Below are 16,030 nucleotides of genomic sequence, written 5' to 3'. Positions count from 1 at the left end.
TAATTGGCTCACGGTTTTTCAGGCTGTACAGGAAGCATGGCAGCATCTGCTTCTGGGGAAGCCTCAGGGGTTTTTACTCATGGTGGAACGCAAAGCAGGAGCAGGCACATCACGCTGCCAGAGCAGGAGCAAGAGAGAGAAAGGGGAGGTGCCACACGCCTTTAAAGGACCATCTCTTGGGAGAACTCAATCACTATCATGAGGACAACACCAAGAGGATGGTACTAAACCATTCGTGAGAACCCTGCCCCCATGATCCAGTAACCTCCCACCAGGCCCCACCTCCAACATTGGAGATTACAATTCAACATGAGATTTGGGTGGGATCACAGATCCAAACTATATTGGTTGGTGAGCATATGGAGAAACTAAAACGCTTGTACACTGCTGGTGGGAACATAAGATGGTGCAGCTGCTATGGAAAAGCTTGGTAGTTCCTCGCACAGTTGAACACAGAGTTACCACATGACCCAACAATTCCACTCCTAGCCGTATATCCAAGAGAAATGAAAACATATGTCCACGCAGAAACTGGTACACAAATGTTCACAGCAGCTTTATTTGTCATGGCCAAAACCTGGTAACAACCCAAATGTCCATCAACAGGTATTCAACAGGTATTGTGGTCCACCCATACAATGGGATCCTACCAACAATAAAAAAAAATGGAGTACTGATATGCACAAAAACACCTGATGAAAAAAGAATTGTGCTGAGTGAAAGAGGCCAGACATACACTGTATGAGTCCATTTCTATGGAATTCTAGAAAATGGGAATTAATCTATAGTGACAGCAAGCCAAGCAGTGGCGGTGGGGATGGGGGACAGTGAGGAGCAGGAAAGAGGGGTTGCTGGAGGCGCAAGGCCACTTTTGGGAGTGGCGGATCAATTCACTGTCTTGATTATGGGGGAGGTTTCATGGGTGTCCACACATGCCAAAAACCCTCCAACTGTACACTTTAAAGACGTGCAGTTTCTTGTATGCCCATTATACCTTCATAATGCTGTCAAAGAAAGATTAAACAATCATTGACCTTCAGGTCTGCAGCAGGCCTCCATTTCCCACATGAATATTCCCCGGCGGTGGAGAAGGCTCTAATTTGGCCTTCCTGAACACAAAAGGAGGGCACTGCGCTCCTCTCAAAAGTCCAAGGCCTTCGATTAAAGGTATATAAGAATCTGCAGAGCAGCTGTCCAGAACTCCTGGAGGACCCCCGTTTTGTGAAGACAGTGATAGATGCACTGGGGCTGGCATCGGATGGAACCAGCTGCGAGTCCCATGGCAAGTGGGAGCCCCTGAGACACGTGGCTGGGGCCCTGGTGTCAAAGACGTCCCCTCTCATGTTGCCTCAGCGTCATCATGCCCCCAGCCCAACACCTCATGGGCATCACAACCATCGAGACGACTACAGTTATAAAATTTGTGGTGGTCAGTGTGTAAATTCAAACCCTGTGGTAGTCATAATTTATATTAACTTCCCTTTGTCATTCTTAGAATAATTCTTTCATGTTTTGGAAAATTGCTCCTCATCAGGAGACTGTTAGAGCCCAAACTTTTGTATATGGCATCCCAGACTCTCCATACTCTGGTTCTAACTGACCCTTTAGCCCATACATGTCCTACTGAAACCTCTCTGCCCTTCTAAGCTTCCCTGAACACACCTCATACTTTCCCTTCTTCCCTGTCTGTCCGAACCCAAGCACTTCCCAGCCAAGGACTCCCTTCCTTTGCTTCTACCTCCACTTCCTGTCTCCAGAGCTGCCCTTCCAACTACCCTGGCAAGTATGGGAGCTGCCATGTTGCCTGAAGTCTGGGAACAGAAGCGACTGGAAAGAACACACAGCTGTGTTCTCAGGAGACTGATGTGGCACTTTGCTGAGGAACACAGGGGACCAGGCCCAGCCTCCCTTCCCTCTGGTCTCAGAGTCACGGCATCTGAGTGGCCTCGGGTGGCTGCCTGTGGTCCCAGTCAGAGGAGCCTGCACCCCTGGGCTGACCCGAGGCAGCTCACCCAGAATGCCTTTCTGTCTTACCTTCACAGGGACCCCCACAAGGAACACCCAAAGCCCAGCTCTGGCCATTCCCCACAATCTCAGGCTTACAGCCTTTCCTGTAACCTTGAACCCAAGGCCTATCCATGTAGTTTAAACCCTCAGAATAACCTCTCTACACTAGAGGGCTCATTTCCAGGCCAATACTCATACATCTTCCTTATTTGCAACCAAAGTAAATGGGACAGTTCCATTTCACAACGAATCCAGCCAGGACAATTTACTAGTTACATGGAGACACTGCCAGAGCATTTATGTGGCTCTTGAAGCATTCACAGTTTCAAAGGGCAAAAGCCCAAAGACAAAGGGGTCCCAGGTTGGCATCCAGGTAAGTTCTTCGGTGGCAGGGTGGAGGAAGCCTTGGAAAACAGGCAAGACTTTCCCCATAGTTTAAGCTTTTACATTCTAGCTGTCCATCACAAAGCAAGCTTGGGCTATACCCTCCCAGTTCCCCACACAGCAAGAGGGAGGGAGCCCAATTTCAAGGCACCATTGAAGGAAAAACACAAATGTCCTTTTCGAACATTCTGACTTTGATTCCATGTGAAACCCGTTCAGCTCACGTGGCATACCTAACTGCCACACCCAAAAGAAAATGATAGCAATGACCACCTTGCAGTGAGAATGTCATTATGGGGAGCTAAATTAGACTAAGCAATGATAAAAGGCTGCACTATTTTAAATGCCATTTATCTAAGTAAGCACTGGGGACCCTGGAACTTTTCCCGGCACTCCAAAGTCACAGTGCAAGTGCCCAGCATCTCTCCTGGCAACTCCACTTTCTGCTGAAAACTCCTGTACCTTGTCCTGCCAGTATCTAGACAGTCTTGGGTAGGTCCTGAGGTGAAAAAAAAGGAGCTTCCGTTAAAAACAGGGTTCACTTATGCATCAGAACCAATGGCATGACAAGATACTAAGGAGTCGATTCTTCTTTAGTGAAAGCTGGCTACTGTCTGGCTTGTAGGAACGAAATCATTTACCTCCTAGAACAACGGAAATGGGTATCAGAGTGCGTGGATCTGTTTCTTTCCTGGTTCAGTTGAATGAAGCAAGACTAGAGCCCAATTGCATGGCCTCCTGCCACAGGCACCTACTCTGCACGAGGATTGCATTTCTGGGCCCATGCCAGCCCTTGCAAAGACTGTCTGCACAGCAGAAAAACCCAGACTTCCCAATGGCCTCATCAGGGACTTCAAATACACCATTCCTAATACTTCTTTTTCTGGAAAACCCAAAGTCGTAGATGCTTCGGATTGCCTCAAGGCAAGGCTGGAGCCGACAATGGTCCCAAGCCTGAGTCTGAGGTGCTAGGACTGCAAGACCTATTTCACTCATGCTTACTGATTACCAGCACCGGGCTTGGCATCAAGGACATGGGGACAGGCATGACACACACTTGTGGGCTTATGAGACCAGCTTGCAGACAAGAACGCAATCACAGGATGGGGAATAGGGACACACTGAAGGAGGCTACGGTATAAGTGCAACTTACAAGAACTCTAGAAGTTTTCATAAAACTATATATATCGTGTGTGTGTGTGTGTGTGTGTGTGTGTGTGTGTGTGTGTATAACATTATTTCTGGAGTTGTCCTAGTGACTGGCACTCCAAGCAGCATTCTCCGAGGGAATCCTGTATGTTTGGGTCTTCCCACACTCTCCTGATAGGAGCCAGCTGTCTTTGAACCTCCCCCCTCCACCACGCCTACCACCCACCTGCCCTCAGGCCTTGTGGATGAAAAACCCCCTCTCCCCTGGGAGGGGACAGGGCTGGAAGGAGGTGGCCGCTGACCAGGACGCTGGGCTGAGAGCACCAAGGGGCAGAGCTCCTGAGCCCAGCTCTGGGGACAGCGCTGGGGAACTAGGATAAGGCCTGCCAGCAGCTGCCTCTGCCAGCCCTGAGACTTTTCCTTGAGAATTCCCCTTGGCTTTCAGTAAAGTGCCATTTGAAGAGTCTGCCCTGTTTCTGCAGGGCTAAGGGGAAGAGGGGTGGACTGCATCGTTGTAGGGAGAAGAGGGGCCAGGCTTGCCACCACACTCATCTGGGGGCAGGCCTGGGGTGGCCCCCTTTCTCCTGCCTGAGGTCTTCTCAGAGGGCTGGGGGGACTCTTATTTAGGGAGTGAATCCCTGATACTCTGATATGGCAAAATCTCTATTTTCAATATACATTACCCCTGAATACAAAAACAATCAAAGCAACGGAACGTCCAGTATTCTACAAAATGTCACGCAAAAGACATTCGATGAAAGATTCGTTCCTGGGCTTGCTCTGTTGCCTAAGTGCAAATTCCTAACCCGTCTGGCTTTCCTCCTAATCGTCACCAGCCGCAAGAGAGGCTGCCTGATGGGGAGGAGCAGGTAAGTGCGAAGCTTTAGGCACTGGTGGTGGGGCGGGGCAGGGGGACAGGGGACAGAGAGGCCAGGGTGGCCTTTGCTGGTGGGGTCTGGGGAGCAGAAGGCAGTGGGCGGGCAGGGGGGAAAGCAAAGCCTGGAGGGTGGCTAGCTACAAATGTCCAATTGTGAGTGACTTGAAGGGTCTTATCCTCTCTGCAGGGCCTGGGCTAGCCATTCCCAGAACCACTGGTGCTCAGGGATGATGGGGCCTGGGCGCTGCTCCTCCTCCCAGAAGCAGCTGGGGCCACCCAGACAAGGCGGGAGTTTTCTGGCACAGCCCCCCATCCTATGCCAACATTCAGGGAGCCTCTTGCCTCTGTGCTAACTTTAGCGCCTCCCCCACCTGCAATATAAGCGCTTAAAGGATTAAAGTGCTTTCAGTATCTTCTACTTGGGAACACTAACAACTCTTAGGGCGAGGGGAACGACCCCCAGGGAGGAAATGCACCACTCTTCTGTAACTCAAAGCCAGCGTGCCCCGCGCTGGCTGGCCTCACTGGCCTCACGTGGCCTCCTCCCTACCCGCAGCAGGCGATTCTGATGCAAATCCGAGGGATGGTTCACGCATCCCCTCCACGCACGCCTGTGCACACTCGATAGTACCTGTGGCTCAGGGACGAGTGGCCCAGGTGCCATCTATGTGCCTCAGTTGCAAGGCCCAGGACTCAGGAGGGAGTAGAGGGCCTCCATTCCCAGCCCGCACTGCCGTTGATGGAGGAGCCAGGGCAGGCGGCAGTCCTCGGTTCTGAGTCCTTCCTGCGTTTCTCAGCCTCAGGGTGAGGCTCTGCCTGGGGTCTTCTGATGGCCAAAGAGGTCAGGGCTGTGGCCGCAATCGAGGCCCTGGGAGGGCGGTCTTCCCACCTGAAGGGGGCTGAGCCTCGACGTCCCCAGGAAGGCCCCCCACGCAGACCGGCCGCGCCCTGGGTGCGCTGGCGGGGAGTCAGCGGCGGCTGGGCCTGGAAGGCCTGGCGGCTGTGCTCGGCCGCGGGGGGCTGGTGGCCGCCACCGCGCTCCCAGGGCCGGTGCTCCCAGGGCCCGCTAGCCTCCGCGCCGTCTCCGCCTTCGCAGGGCGCCTGGCGCCGTGCACTGCCTGGTGCTTGAATAGGTTGGCGCGCCGGCCGAAGGCCTTGCCGCAGTCGCTGCACTCGTAGGGCTTCTCACCGCTGTGCACGCGCCGGTGCTGGCTGAGGCCCGAACGGCCACGGAAGGCCTTGCCGCACTCGCGGCACGCGAAGGGCCGCTCGCCGCTGTGGCTGCGCTGGTGGTGGATGAGCTGCGAGACGCCCTTGAAGGCCTTGGCGCACTGGCCGCAGGCGTAGGGCTTCTCGCCGCGGTGCGTGCGCTGGTGCTCGATGAGGTTGGAGCTGCGGCTGAAGGCCTTGCCGCACTCTGGGCACGCGTAGGGCCGCTCGCCGCTGTGCACGCGCGCGTGCTCCAGGAGCGCGAAGCTGCGGCGGAACAGTTTGCCGCAGTCGCCGCAGGCGAAGGGCCGCTCGCCGCTGTGGATGACCTGGTGCTTGATGAGGTTGGAGCTGCGCGTGAAGGTCTTGCTGCACTCGGGGCAGGCGTAGGGCTTCTCGCCGCTGTGGATGCGCTGGTGCTCCAGGAGCGCGAAGCTGCGGCGAAACAGCTTGCCGCACTCGGGGCACGCGTAAGGCTTCTCGCCACTGTGGATGATGCGGTGCTTGATGAGGTTGGAGCTGCGGCTGAAGGCCTTCCCACACTGCTGGCACAGGTACCGCTTCTCCGCGCCTTTGGGGCCCTGCGGCCCCGCAGCCGAACTCTGCCCCAAGCCCTGGGCACCTCTCTGGAGCACAGACGACCTCGCCGCCTGCCCCTCCTTGCCACCTTGTGGATCGGCCCCGGGGAGTTGTCGTCCAGAATGCTTCTGCGTTGAAGTCGACGTCTTGCTCTGTGTTCTGTCACCTGGAAAGACAGAGCACCAGGCAGTGTCACCCTCATGCCAAGTCAGAGAGATGAACGAGCAGGAGGTGAGAACATAGGGGGATGGGGCAAGGTGACCACAGAACAGAAAGCCATCACACAGGCAGACAGGAGAGATGAAGGGGCGGGAGGATGGGCTGGAGATAGCGGGGCTGCTGTGACACCTGGAGATTGACATCTGCCTCCAAAGAGGATTTCCCACCCAAAGCGGCAGGGTACCCTCCCCCGCCCCCTTTGCCACTGCTATTTCTTTTTACCCCGATGGGGAGCTGGTTGAGCACCTCTCACTCACCTATGTGCAATCCTGCGGTGGCCCAGGTTCTGGGGATGTCTGCTACCCAGGGTCCTTCCCCTCGTTCCAATTGGGAGATCAGGTGAGGCTTGGAGAAGGAAAATCCTGGGCGTGGAATATGAAGCAGGTCAAGACCACTATGGCTGAGGGCAGGGTCGCTCCTGAACTCAGGCAATTCTCAATATCTTCAGGTAACAGAGAATAAAGAACTCTCTAAAAAGCACTACTGGGAAGGCTCAGAGAAAGGGCCAAGTCCCTCTACGAGGGCAAGGGCTCCTGCGCGTCCAGGGCCAGGTGGGCACGGAGATCTTCAGTAGCTGGCGATTTGGGCCATGAGGACAACTGTGTTTGTCACCTGGCCTGCAGGGAGGCTGAGAAGCTCATGAGAAATCGGGGATGTGTGTGGGCACCCTGAGGGACAGAAGAAGGGCTTGCAAGCCCCAGGGACTATTGGGAGGCCGACAGCCATAGGCCCCGAAAGCTGAATTGCCCTGTTTCATCATCCAACTCCACTGAGGATCCCAGACCCCTCCCTGGAACCCCAGGTCTGCCTGGTGAGTGTCAGAAGGAATCCAGGGGATGAAGCTGCTTTCCCTCTATGGGGCTAGATTACAGAGGCAAAATCTGTGGAGTCAGACTCCCACAACCCCAAAGGCAGTAGAGTGCAATGTTGAAGACCCTCTGGATTTCCCCTCCAGCGGCAAGGGGAAGTGGAGTGTTTCCATTTCCACTGGGAAGTGGAGTGTCTGAGCTTAGCTGCAGCAGCCAGCCTTGCTGGGCACACTGGGGGAAAAGCCAGAGGCCCAGTCCCACTCTGTTTCACGCATGCATCTCTCATCAGCTGCGTGAGGTGGGGGCAAGTCACTGGCACCCTCAGACGTTCTTTACCCCACCTGAAAACCTTCCTGAGTGCTCCGGCCCCCATCCGTCTAGCCTGTGACTCCTGCTTTTGCCCTTTAATTGGCAAAATTGCTGCCCCTTCCGGCAGTGGGTGTGCACTGGCATGGAAGGGGGAGAGCAGTGTGCTCCAAGCTGCCCCAGCTCCTCCCGGGACTTCTCAAGGCTTGAAATCCAAGTCTACACTTTGTCCTTATGTGGGACCTCCCTGGTCAATGGAAGGAAAAGATGTTGCTAAATTTTACAAAGTGGAACGGATGCAAAATGCAGCCGTCATAGAAACGAATTAAGTCTAAAAGAGTGCACATAAATATTCCAGTAGAATTTGCATCTCTCTTTTGAGTAGAAAGACCTTTAGTCGATCCACGATTTTATACACAAGATAAGACTGGTACTGAAACTTACAGGCCAACGCATTTACCTAAAACATTTACAGGTCCAGACCACTTAGCTAAAAACCATCCTACTGAGATGGCGGCTGGCCTGCAATGGATTACTGGCATTACTGGTCTGATGGAGAAATGCATTTATTCTTGGGCTCATAGCAACCGACAAACAGGAATCTCGGAAATAAACTGAGCCCAGAGACAGAGTAGGTGGGACTGGGTGTGTGTATGTCGTGGAGGGATCACTTACCCAGTGACACCAAATGGCTATAGTTCTCCAGCATCACCCGCTTGTAGAGGACCTTTTGTCTGAGGTCCAGAAGCTTCCATTCTGTCTTTGTGAAGTACACGGACACATCCTCAAAAGATACTGGCACCTAAAATAAGGCATTCTTGTGGCCACAGGGGAATTCAACCCCCTGGGCCCCTGGAGGAGCTGACAGAAACAAAATGTGGGGGGCGGGGGGAGCCCTGGAAGGCTCAGCAGGTGGAAAGACTCGGGTTGCACGAGTTGTAAGACAGAAAAACAGGCAGCACAGCCGACAGAGGCAGGAAGCCCAGATTGTGCGCCTCAGGAAAGGAAAACGATGCTAAGGGCAGCCTAAGCTCAGCCCAGCTGGAGAGGCCTGGGCATGAGGAGGCAGCAGACGGGGGCTGCCAGGGGGAGAGGCCAGGGAGAGGGGCCACCACTCACCTTGGGTCTCGTGGTCAGGAGAATGGCTGCCATCACCAGGGCGCAGAGGAGCTAAGGGAAATGCAAAGAGCCCCCTGTGAGCCCAGGGCAGCCTGGAGCAGCCAATCTGCGACCTGCTTGAAGACCCTGCTTAGTTTTTCTTGTGAAATAAGCACAGCGGCCACCTGTGGTGTTCTCACTCCTGCAGCTTCACCAAGGGCCCCTCACCATCAGACCTTCTGTATGGCTTCCTGGGGCGGCCATAATAAGTACTACAAATCGGGGCCTTCAAGCAAGACACATTTTTCTCTCCCGGTTCTGGAGGCCAGAAGTCCGAGATCCAGGTGCTGGCAGGCCCCCGCTCCACTGAAGCCCCTTTCTCGCCATTTTCGGCTTCTGGTGGTTTCCAGCAATCCTTCTTGGCCTCTGTCTTCGTGTGGCCATCCTCTCTCTGTGTGTGTCTGTGTCCCAATTTCCCTGGTCTGTTGTGAATGCCAATCACTGGATTAGGGCCCACCCTGCTCCTACAGTATGACCTCATCTTACCTTGATTACAGCTGCAAAGTCTCCCTTTCCAAATGAGGTCACAGTCACAGATACCAGGAGTTGAGACTTCAATATGTCTTTTTGGGGGGCACCATTCAAACCCAGGACACTCTCTGCAATTGAGGTGCCATGCCCACTTCCATACTGGCGCTCGCCTGACCAGGCTTTCGAGGGAGCCCGTTCCTTCTTTCCTTTCTTTTCTTCTTTTGCTGCTTTTCTTAGCTCTCTCCCCATGTGGCCAGCGTCCCCTGACCCCAACTTTCCAGCCATTCCTGGAAGCTCCACTGCCAATCCCCTTCCCTCAGGTCGGGATTCTTAAGGAAACTCCAAATGCACATGTACGACCTCCCTTTGCAAAATGAAGAGAAGAGAGGTGAGGGCAGTGCAGAATCAAGGGGGACCTACAGTAGTGGGGGTGCTCTCTGAAGGGGTGACATTCAGGCAGAGAGCTGGAGGCTGCAAGTGGCAAAGAGAGTAGCCAGCCAACAGCACAGCACATACCCTGGCCCTCAGATGGTCCTGCATTTGGCATTCGTGGTGCTGAAAATTAGGGAACAGGCGCAGAGGATGACACCACGTGGGACCCTGGAGGGACAGCAGGAAGTTGAGTTTCAGGCTAAGAGTAGGGAACATGAAATTGACAAAGTGGACAAAATTCACCTCGGCCTCAGGACTTCTCCACAGCAGTTCTCAATGCCAGATGGCAGTCAGTGCTGTGGGTTGGATATCTGAGTCTCCACACGTCACGTTGCAATTTGATCCCCAGTGTTGGAGGTGGGGCCTCATGGGAGTTGTTTGGGTCGTGGGGGTGAGTCCCTCATGAACAGATTAATGCCCTCCCTCAGGGGTGAGTGAGTCCTTGCTCTGTGAGAGCTGATTGTTAAAAAGAGCCTGGCTCCTCCCCTCATCTTGCGTCCCCTCTGGCCACGTGATCTCTGCACATGCCGTGCGCCACCAGCTCCCCTTAGACTCCCACCCTGAATGGAAGCAGCTTGAGGCTCTCACTAGATGCAGACGCCCAGTCTTGAACTTTCCAGCCAGCAAAATCCTGAGCTAAAGCAACCTTTTCTCTTTATAAATTACCCAGCCTCTGGTATTCCTGTACAGCAACACAGGAGGACTAGGACAGGGGGGTAAAAGATTGTTCCTTTCTCAGCACACGCCCCCACCAGCTACTTCCTGGTTTCTCTGCTTCTCTGCCTGGGATTTCCATTTTGTTGGTCTCCAAGCTTTTATTGATGTTCCAATGGGTGACTACAGTTTGTTTGTGCCAACAACGCCACAGGAGAGAGGGAGAGGGCACAGGATCCCAGGAGCATAGAGAAGGACAGCCACAGTATTTGCCTGGCATTTAAATTGCTCCAAAGTCCCTTATCATCCATGATGACCTGCCAGCCAACATTGGTCCAAGATACATAAGCTGATGTTCTGAATCCCTGAAGGTGGAATGGATGCTAAACCATTAGGTTAAAGACTTGAGAGAGAAAGGGGTATCACATATCAAAATGCCATCCTGTGATTATTTGAGGGCTGCAAGAGAGTAATCTAACCTAGCAGTGGGACATAGGGTGGGACAGTCCTGCTGCCAGGATGCAGTAGGAAGGTATCCTACCAAAGCCATATGACTGGATTTGAACGCAGCCTTGGCACTCAATGTCCAGTGTCCAGAGGCCCTTGGGAATAGATGACACCACAAGGAAGCAACCTGCCTGACCCAGAAAGGGGCTGTTCCATAGAGCAACGGGTCCCGTATCCTCTGCAAATCAGTGTCATGGGGGGAGAAAGGAGACTGGGGAGAGAGGCTGTTCTAGATGAAAAGAGATTTACGGGGTCCAACACCCAACTGCAAGAGGGGTCGTCAATGAGATGCTGGCGTAAATGAGAGAGTCGTCAAAGGGATTAGGGATCATTGGGAGAGGGTGATTATGGGGTGGCCCTCGGAAGGAAGTAGGGGATCATAACTGCTCATGTGTTGGATGGATAGTGGCACTGGGTCATGGAAGAAAATGTCCCTTTTAAAGAAATGCATATTGAAGCATTTGGGGGAGGGAATGGCATGCAACTTACTTTAAAACCTTTCACAAAGAGAAAGAGAGAAAAGCTGACACAAAAAAGGCAAGATGGTGATTAAAAAGAAAAAAAAACTATGGAAAACAGACTGGTGGCTTGTCAATGAGTTAGACATAGTTATCATATGACCCGGCAATTCCACTTCTGGGTATATACCCCCAAAGAATTGAAAACAGGTGGTTCACACAAACCCTTGCGCACCTGTGTTCACAGCAGCATTAATCACTAGAGCCGAAAGGTGGAAGAAGCCCAAATGTCCATCGATGGATGGATGGACCAACACCATGAGCCTATATATACAATGGAAAAGTATTTGGCCATAGAAAGAAAGGAAATTCTGACACATGCTACCATGTGGATGAACCCTGAGGACACTGCTCAGTGAAAGAAGCCAGATGCAGACTTGAAAGGTCACATATTGTATGATTCCATTTTGTGATGTAACATCACATTTCCCAAGAGCCGTCTTGACCTAGTTTTGAAATAGTGGCTAAAACCTCTCATCTCTATGCCCTTCGAGGGCAGTTTGCTAAGTCCCCACTCCCACCACTTTTCTTACAATTTCCCTCTCTCTGGGGCCACCAAACACACACTCCAACGGCCCCTGCCTCATTGGGCCCCCACACTCTGGGGCCAGGCACCAGACAAGTAGGGACAGCCCCTATGTCCTGGAGCCTGAAAACTTATGCAACTCAATCAATCCAAAGGAAGCTGGAGAAACCTAGCCACCCGCCTCTGCTGGCCCCTTCCGGCCCCAGCTGCTGTTTCCCGGTCCCCGGGTCTAACCTCTGTGTGGCCCTGCCTGGCAGCCTTCTCTCGTTCAGAGCTATACAGAACAAAAAGCTGTGCCTTTCATCTATCCCAGGGTCCTGTCATCCAAAGAACCTTTAACTCTCATAAAACATGTCTGTCCAGAACAGGTAAATCCATCATGTCAGAAGGCAGATTGGTGGGTGCCCGGGGGTGGGGGGATGGGGAGTGAGTGCTAATGGGTCTAGAGGTTTCCTTATGGGGCGATGAGAATGTTCTGGAGCCAGGTAGAGGTGGTGACTGCACAACATGGTGAATGTACTAAATGGCCTCTGAATTGTTCTCTTTAAAATGGTTAATTTGGCCGGGCGTGGTGGCTCACACCTATAATCCCAGCACTTTGGGAGGCCGAGGTGGGTGGATCACTTGAGCTCAGGAGTTGGAGACCAGCCTGGCCAACATAGTGAGATCCCATCTCTACAAAAAATACATAAAATTAGCTGGGTGTGGTGGCGCGTGTCTGTAGTCCCAGATACTTGGGAGGCTGAGGTGGGGTGATGGCTTGAACTGGGAAGGTTGAGGTTGCAGCGAGCCGTGATTGCACCACTGCACTCCAGCCTGGGCGACAAAGCTAGACTCTGTCTCAAAAAATTAATTTTTATGTTGTGTGAATCTCACCTCAATCAAAAAGGAGGGAAAAGAAATGTTCCTGTAGGTAAAATCATTCTAATGTCCGCAGGCCACACCTCATTTCATTATAACACACTGTCAGTCACTGGGACCCCTGCAAAACTAAAGGTGCGTGGGGAGGTATTACTGATAATTTGCCAGTGCTTTCAGACTAGTATAAAATTATTGTTTTGAAAAGCAGCATAAGCTCATTTTTTTCCTTACCATAACAGTACTGAAAGTTCACTACCCATTTTGGACAAGTTGAAAGGGGGAGGAGTTATCTCTAGTCCCTCCACCCCAAGATTACTGAGGCAGGTCTGAGCCCCAAGGGAGCAGAGCACTGTTGAGTGGTGACCCCCTGAGTGAACACCCCATCGGCGGGAGGCCGCCCAGAGACGGAGACCCGCACTCAAGTGCAGCATCGGAAGACCCAGCGGAGGTGCTGGCCACACCAAGCCGTCACCCAGAGCAGTGCCTGTCCTTGAGAGCTAGTTCCCGAAAATCATCTACAATTTCAACTCCTGGAAAGAAAGACACGACAAACCCTGTGCCCATAGAACTCAAATAACACCCAGGTGGGCACTACTCCGTGCATCTGAGGACAGAAGCACCTGGAAGGCACCTGGCGGAACTAGAGAGCAGCTTCTTCCAGCTGGACCAGCAAGACCCTGTGACCTTTGGGGACCAGCAGAGCAGAGGCCAAGCAGAAGGATAATCCTGGGCTCTGAAGCCAGGCTTCCCCGAGGCACAGCATCGGGCACACAGGTGAGAATCCACCAGACCTTGGCGCCTCAGGTGAGGAGCCAGAAAGGCCCATCAACCTGGGTGACCGGTGCCACTGCCGGCCCCTCCAGGGCTGCTCCACCTCTGTGAGGGGCCTCGGACCCGGGACCCCTGCTTGCGGACCTTAGCCTATGGGTGGAACTGAGTATGCAGGGTGCTCCACGCGGGGAGGGCTGGGAAGGGGATGAGAGCAGGGCCACTGCCAGCAAGGAAGCCTGGCCAACCAAGGGGAGAGCTGGCTCTAGCAGGATGCCTTAAGACGACCACTAGATGGGGAGATATTCCCAGAAAAAGAAAAAAGAACCCACACAAACAAACAACAATCAGAAAAGCATCCAGCAGTCCCACTCGGTGGGAGCAGGAATTTGGGCTTTTTCATCCACAGCAAGGGACAGGCATCACCACTTTGGTTGGGTTTCTTCCGTCCTGGGGGATCTTGCTTCTCTCAGCCCCATCAGCTTTCCTTGGCCCGAGGCCCTAGTCACCTGCTGCCCACCTGGCAGAACGGCTGGAGAAGGAAACTGGAGAAACCCAGAGCCAAGGCCCGGCCTGGGTGCTGCATGGGTCGACCGGGGCCCTCCATGCAGCCTAGCCTGAAAAAGTCCTCTGAGGAGCTTCCTTGCAGCTGGGCAGGCCTTGCCCTCTGGGGGCAGAGGGTAACCTAGCCAAAAGGGGGCCACCCAGGCTGCTCGCTGAGGGATCCTTCTAACAGGCGGGTCGGGTCCTGTCCTTCTCTGCTCACAGTTATCCCTGGGATGCCCGTGTCACTCAGAGTAAACTCACACAACCCTTCCTGACCTTGCCCAACCCTCCTCCCACCTCTGCACCTCCCTCTGCTCCTGCCACACTCTTGCTCCCTTGAGCCAGGCCACCCCTGCCTCAGGGCCTTTGTACAGGGGATTCCTTGTGCCTAGAATGCTCTTCCAAAACCATAACCACATGCCTCGCTCTTTTACCACCTTCAAGTTTTGGTAGAAATGAGACTTATTCTAGAATAAGTTATTCTAACCACCTAAACTGGCAACCAGACCTCCCTTCCCCGGCTCTTACTGCCTTTTAACAGACTCTGTAATTACTAATGGAAAACATTTTCTGCTTATTGTCTGCGCTCAGCCACTAGAACGAGAACAACAGGGCAGGGCTTACTACCGCCGTGTCCCTGGCAGATCTCAAATGCTTGCTCAGGAGGTATCTGTGGGAGTGAATCAGTCACAACTAGCCCTGTAGGGAAGCGCTGGGTGCCGCTTTCTGCCCAGCTCAGCTGGCTCCTTCTCTCACCCTTGCCCACCACTTCCATCGGCCCTTCGCTTCCTCCTTGGCTTGGCTAAGCTGATGCTTTTCCGTGGCATGCCAGTCACCTGGTCAACATCCCGCACCACCGCGAGGCACCAGCCCCCACCTGATACCCTCTGGAGCACAATTTTGGGCATCCTGCCCCGATCTGGAGACCCTCAGGGCCGGTGCCTGGGCAGCGGTGCCACAACCTCACAATGCCAGTCTGCCCAGCACTCTCACACCCAGAGGTGCAAAATCCAAACTCACCAGGCAGATCAGCGACAGGATGCTCTTTAGCCAGCCTCGGGACCGGTGGCTGGAAACCAATCAGGAGAGAAATTGACAGACACGGGCCGCAGCTCCCAGCGCCCAGCCCTGGATGGCTCTTCCCCTGGCGCCCCTGGTACGGGGCGGCCCCGAGGGCTGGTCCGGCCACTCAGTGCTAGCCCGCCTCCCAGGGAGTCCCTGCTTGTCGCCGCCGCCGCAGCTCCCTCGTCCCCCTCGACACCTGCACCCTGCCGAGACGGGCCCCTTACCCGCTTACCCGCACCCCTGCGGCCCAGCTCGGCCCTCTTACCTGGGCTCGGCGGGCAGCCGAGGGAGTCGGCCTCCCTTCCTGCTCCCGGCAGGCCCGAGGCCAAGGCCGCCGCCTCCTCCTAGAAGCCCTCCGAGGCCGCGTCCCCAGGAAACGCGGGCGGGGGGTGGGGGCTCCTGGGCTTGTCTCGACTTCGCCTCTGGGTACCGCTCGCGAAGAGCGTCCTGAAGGGGAGTCTCAGTCTGGTGCGCCGACGAGCGGGCCGGGAGCGGGCGGGGCCGGGGCGGCGGCAGCGTGGGAACGGGGCGCGTTGTGGGGGGGGCATGGAGCATGCGCGGCGCAGAGGGATGGCGGCCCGCCCCGCGCCCGCCCCACAGGGGCGTCTGGCCTGGCTCCCCACGCGCCCCGAGGCACTTCCGCTTTCTGTCTGGGCTGCTCTGAAGGCTGGGGTCGAAGTGGTCAGCGCACCGCGGCTCCTGAAGGGGACGGGAGGGACCCGCGTTGGCAGAACACCTCCCATGGGCTAGACCCCTGGGCGTTATTACGTCCATTCATTCAGTTATTCATCTCGCTGGGGTCCCCGGGACCTCTGCAGGGCAGCTAGCACCAAGTACCCCGGCCATGGTCACTCAGTAAAGGAGTGACCCAGGATGGCAAGGATCAGAGAGCGGGGAAGAGGTGAAAGGTGACTCAGGGAGCATGGTGTGGAGACACGAGGAGGGGAAAAAGGAGGTCAGGGAAGTGCAAGAAGCCAAGACCCTC

At 54.5% G+C, this 16,030-nt stretch overlaps 2 protein-coding genes across 5 annotated transcripts in view, besides 3 other annotated features; one reads left to right on the top strand and one right to left on the bottom strand.

Annotated features, from left to right (window-relative positions):
• Window positions 1-532: 532 nt before the first annotated feature.
• On the bottom strand, window positions 533-15,542 carry ZFP92 (ZFP92 zinc finger protein). 4 transcript variants are annotated; one of them, NM_001386945.1, is made up of 7 exons: window positions 15,311-15,542; window positions 15,001-15,049; window positions 9,184-9,532; window positions 8,659-8,709; window positions 8,215-8,341; window positions 6,682-6,786; window positions 533-6,371 (listed from the first exon to the last, which is right to left on the bottom strand). In NM_001386945.1, exons 4-7 carry the CDS (start codon window positions 8,689-8,691, stop codon window positions 5,386-5,388), a joined length of 1,251 nt encoding a protein of 416 aa, NP_001373874.1. In that variant the 5' UTR covers window positions 8,692-8,709; window positions 9,184-9,532; window positions 15,001-15,049; window positions 15,311-15,542; the 3' UTR covers window positions 533-5,385. The 4 variants fall into 4 exon arrangements, with proteins under 4 accessions (NP_001373874.1, NP_001129745.1, NP_001373873.1 ...); NM_001136273.2 differs by lacking the exon at window positions 9,184-9,532; NM_001386944.1 differs by lacking the exons at window positions 9,184-9,532; window positions 15,001-15,049.
• Window positions 13,010-16,030, top strand: part of PNMA6E (PNMA family member 6E) — an 18,366-nt gene continuing 15,345 nt past the window's right edge. The window contains exon 1 of the mRNA XM_047442374.1: window positions 13,010-13,440. The gene's annotated coding sequence lies outside the window, so the exon portion shown is untranslated. The remainder of the gene's footprint in view (window positions 13,441-16,030) is intronic.
• Window positions 15,024-15,234: a silencer, noted in NCBI's record as "fragment chrX:152677238-152677448 (GRCh37/hg19 assembly coordinates)". NCBI's record gives its function as "represses an EF-1alpha promoter that drives an FKBP-Casp9 reporter gene in an ReSE screen in HepG2 liver carcinoma cells {active_cell/tissue: HepG2}" and the evidence as "EXISTENCE:reporter gene assay evidence [ECO:0000049][PMID:32094911]".
• Window positions 15,297-15,436: a silencer, noted in NCBI's record as "silent region_21062". NCBI's record gives its function as "represses an Ori minimal core promoter by ATAC-STARR-seq in GM12878 lymphoblastoid cells {active_cell/tissue: GM12878}" and the evidence as "EXISTENCE:reporter gene assay evidence [ECO:0000049][PMID:35858748]".
• Window positions 15,497-15,746: a silencer, noted in NCBI's record as "silent region_21061". NCBI's record gives its function as "represses an Ori minimal core promoter by ATAC-STARR-seq in GM12878 lymphoblastoid cells {active_cell/tissue: GM12878}" and the evidence as "EXISTENCE:reporter gene assay evidence [ECO:0000049][PMID:35858748]".

The sequence above is a fragment of the Homo sapiens genome, chromosome X, assembly GCF_000001405.40.
Source record: "Homo sapiens chromosome X, GRCh38.p14 Primary Assembly".
NCBI classification, from domain to species: domain Eukaryota; kingdom Metazoa; phylum Chordata; class Mammalia; order Primates; family Hominidae; genus Homo; species Homo sapiens.
This window is presented reverse-complemented; position numbering and strand designations above follow the sequence as displayed.